Genomic DNA, 4,359 nt, shown 5'->3' on the forward strand with positions numbered 1-4,359 from the left:
AGGAGGCAGTCTTGTGAGACGAAGCCCTCAACCTTTGGGATCTGACGCTGTCTCCAGGTAATCAGTGTCAGAATTGTATTGAATTAGAGGATACCCAGCTGGTGTCCACTGCAAAACTGATTGCTTGCTGGTATGTAGGGAAAAAGAAACACACACATTTGGTCACAAAAGTCTTTGTGTGGATTTTTGTGGGATGAAAGTGAAGGAAAACTTCTTAAATACCCAATAGTCAAACATAGTAGGTTTCTATAAATTAAGAGTGCCTTTAATATATACATTGGGATCTTGGGAGAGGGAATATTGTATATTTTCTTTTGTTTTTACGTTTGAGTAAATTTTTTTTTCTTTCAGCTTTATAGCATCTTGTGGTGTGGACGGTGCTCTACAGTACACTTTGTGAAATGTTGCTATACAGTGAAAACATGAAAAACAGCCTATAAGAAAGTTCACCTCCATCGTATAGATTTATAAACTGAACAGGTTAAGCTAGATCCACATCATTCTGAAATATATATTATTTCCGTAAAAGTAATCAAATCATCTCTTAACCCAGAGCTATTAATCCTGGGCCCTGGATCCCAGGAATCTTCAAAGGTAGTAAGTGTTGGTCCTCGGCAATAAAAGATAGAAAATCCCTAACCCAGTGAAAATATTTAGGAATGTGCAAGTAACATTTTTCTTCAAACTTGAAATCCTGCTCTTGAAAATAAGATGTTAAAAGAAGACAGGGCTCTGTGAAAGAGAGCCCCTGTTATATCACAAGAATGGCTCAAGATGCTAACTCAGGAACAAGCCTGAGTGATAGCTCAATGGCGCGGAGATCGAAAGCAACGTGAGCATTGTGTGCTGTGAGGATGGACTTGCAGAAAGTTTCCTCTGATTGGACCAGTTCACAGCCACAGCACACGGTTTAAGATTCAAGGGTAAATGGTGTTTGAGTCTGGCTAGATGTATTGACTAAAACCAGTGATGAACTCTCCACTTCAAAAACAATGCAGTGAATATCTGCAAAGGCCATTCCTCCTGCACGCTCCTCAGACATGGTTATAAGTTAAGAGCTTAAGACAGAGCATCCATGCCGAGCCTGGCTTGGTTTCATTTTTCTGTTCTAAATTGAGCATTTTTTTTTTCTGGTGTTCAAAGACTACAGATACCCAGGAGAAGAGAGGATATAAGCATAGTACATGCTTCAAATTTTGTAAAATAAGAAGTCTTATTTCTTGTGATTGTATCTTGATTATATTTTGATCATTTGCCAGCATGGCTGTGTGCCCATCGTTGCTTCTTCATAATTTTTAGTTTATGAGTGTGGAAATTCACAAAAAAATAAAATATTCTCAACAACAGTATACAAAGCATCACTTTTATTTTACATTTAAGGTAACAGTAAGGTTACCTTGACAGCATTTAACATAGCTCAGAGTAAATTTTCTTTTCTCTTTTCTTTTTTTTTTTTTTTTTTTTTGAGACGGAGTTTCACTCTTGTTGCCCAGGCTGGAGTGCAATGGTGCGATCTCGGCTCACCACAACCTCTGCCTCCCCGGGTTGAAGCGATTCTCCTGCCTTAGCCTCCTAAGTAGCTGGGATTACAGGCATGTGCCACCACCCCAGCTAATTTTGTATTTTTAGTAGAGACGGGGTTTCTCCATGTTGGCCAAGCTGGTCTTGAACTCCCGACCTCAGGTGATCCGCCCACCTCGGCCTCCCAAAGTGCTGGGATTACAGGCGTGAGCCACCGCACCCAGCCGGACTCTGAGTAAATTTTCAATGTTTTTACACTGCAGTATTGCCAGAGTTCAGGAATAAAGTTTAGAAAATGTTTGATATTTTTGGAGGTTTATCTTGTATTATCGTTATTTTTTGCCTGAAAATTGATAAAATCAGTTTGCTTTCAACCACAAACCTCCAAAATCACACTGTTTCTAAGAATCTTATCTTACAGCAAATGAAAATATTCTGCCACAAATGTTTAATTTATGTCATCCTGAAAATTACCTCAAAATGAGAAAGACCAAGCAAGTTACATTTATCTCAGTTTTCTTTTAAATTAAATGAAGTTTTGAAAATCTTCCATCAGCTCAGTATGTCTGTGGCCATTTGTTAATCATCAACTTAATTTGTGATGATTATTTTATGTTCATATATCATTTTTATGCGTTATAGAAGAGAGAGCACACTCATGTCCCTTCATGCACAGGCTCTCTACAGCGCACCCACGTTATTAGTACACACCAGAGTACTTCTTTACAGAGAAACCACAGCTCAGAAAAGATGTCCTGTCCAGTGTCACCCAGTGACCAGAATCCTCACCCAATTTCATGAAGAACTAAATATAGAATCTATTTAGAAAATTAATTAAATCAGTACATTTTAATGCTAGAAAGAAGTCCAAATTTCATCTGGTCTTATCAAATGTAAATGAGATGACAAAGGCTCAGAGATGTCCAGTCATTTTCTCAGTGCTATCCCCTCAACCCCATCCCCATCCCACTGCCTTAACTTCTTAGAAGCAGAATTGATACTCGAGTTTTAGATTTCTGACATGTGGCTTCCATGTTCTTTCTCCCTCTTAGGAGGGACTTTGCCACCTTCATATCTGCAGCTTTATTTATTTATTTTTCTCATTCACAAGCAATTTTAATATAGAGGCTTAGATTATCTAGGATAATAAAGAATACTACTGACCACTAAATCCAATCCAATGTATTCTCTGGATAGGTGAATAAAACCCTGTGTAGGTATATAACTTTCCAGCATGAGTAAGTCATATCCTAAAAGGTATGGCAGATTTCCTGTCATGATCTTAGCTGCTGAATTTACTTTCAAATCTAAACTCAGATGTTTATAATTGGCAATTCATGCAGCTCTCTTGTTCCATTCCAGTTATACTGAAATGAGCACCAGCAGATACTATTTGCGGTAGGTATTCTCAGAACCAGAAGAAAAATAAATGTTAGTGAATAACAGAATTAAGATTCATTATTCTTGTATATCCTGACAGTATTGAATATGACTGATTGCACAGTATAGAGAAGTGGTTTTGTTATATTCATCATTGTGGGCTTTGAAGAGCTAGAATAAGAAAATGGATTTCAACGTGAACTCCCATCCTATGTTATAAAAATCTGCAGGTTAAATATGTTGAACATTTTTGTGAACCATGAAGTACATGCAAAATAGATGCGTTGAAAATATATAATTTTATGTACACAGTTACACACACATATGCACATACACATTTACTATGTGTGTGGCATTTAATTCCTATCTGTATACAATAGCATGGTTCAAAGTACCTTTTCTGTTGAAGTCACTGAAGCTTGATTTCCAACACCTCGCTATCTTATCTTCCTTCCCTTCAATCTCTCAGTTAATAGGATTTCTATAAACCAGCACAGCAGTGGCCTTGGTAGCTCAGCAGATTAGCCGGTGAGCTTTCATCCTTGGAACCTAGTTCAAATTCAGTCCTGACCAAGATGTCTAATAATCCTCCATGGGCAGATTGCTCTCAAAAGGGCATGAAGCCTAGTTTATCTCTGAACCTGATGTGGAGCTCTGTTTTTTGAACCCTTCCTAAAACCTGAGGTTTCATTCATGCAACTGAGAAAGAAGACGAAATATAGGCATTTGCTTTTAGGTTATAGACTAGTTTCTCTTCTGCAAAGAATTCAAGATATCTCTGGGAAAAAAAAAATTCCTTGCTTCTCTCCGCAACCATCAATATTCTAGAAATAGCCAAAATTAAAACATTATTTTTAATCTCTTTACAACCCCTTTACCACAAGGATCTGTTAGTAGTTTTCACTGCCTCTTCTTACCATTTTAACTATACTATTGCACATGGAAATACTAGAGTGATATTATTATGTTACTCCTTTAATAAGACCCTACAATGATGATGCTTTGTTGTTTGTTCTGCCTTATAGCCAAACATACCTGAATAGCAAGTTGCTACATGATATATTTTTTTCCTTCTCATCATGGTCAACATTTTAGTTGGGCGGAAAAACGTATCTTCCATAAACACCACGCTTCTCTGGTCTCTGAGCATTTGATACTGATACAGCTCCCATACCATTCCTTCCCAACTGCTCGAATGCCTTTAGTATTCTTTTTCAGTCGTACCTATTCTTTAAAAATTACTGGCTTCATCTCCTCTGTAAATGTCTTTCTGTCATATTGGTTCACAAAATCTCAAACTTTTTTATAAGTTATATCAGAAAGAATACTACATTGGAGTCAGGTAACCAGCCTTCTATTCATTTCTATTTCATCAGTTAGCTGTGTGATCTAGATCAAGACATTGAGGGTGAAGACGATGATGACAACGATAATGCGATTTTAAAAACAACTGTAGTT

Source organism: Homo sapiens, chromosome 5, assembly GCF_000001405.40.
Source record: "Homo sapiens chromosome 5, GRCh38.p14 Primary Assembly".
In the NCBI taxonomy this organism is placed as follows: Eukaryota; Metazoa; Chordata; class Mammalia; order Primates; family Hominidae; genus Homo; species Homo sapiens.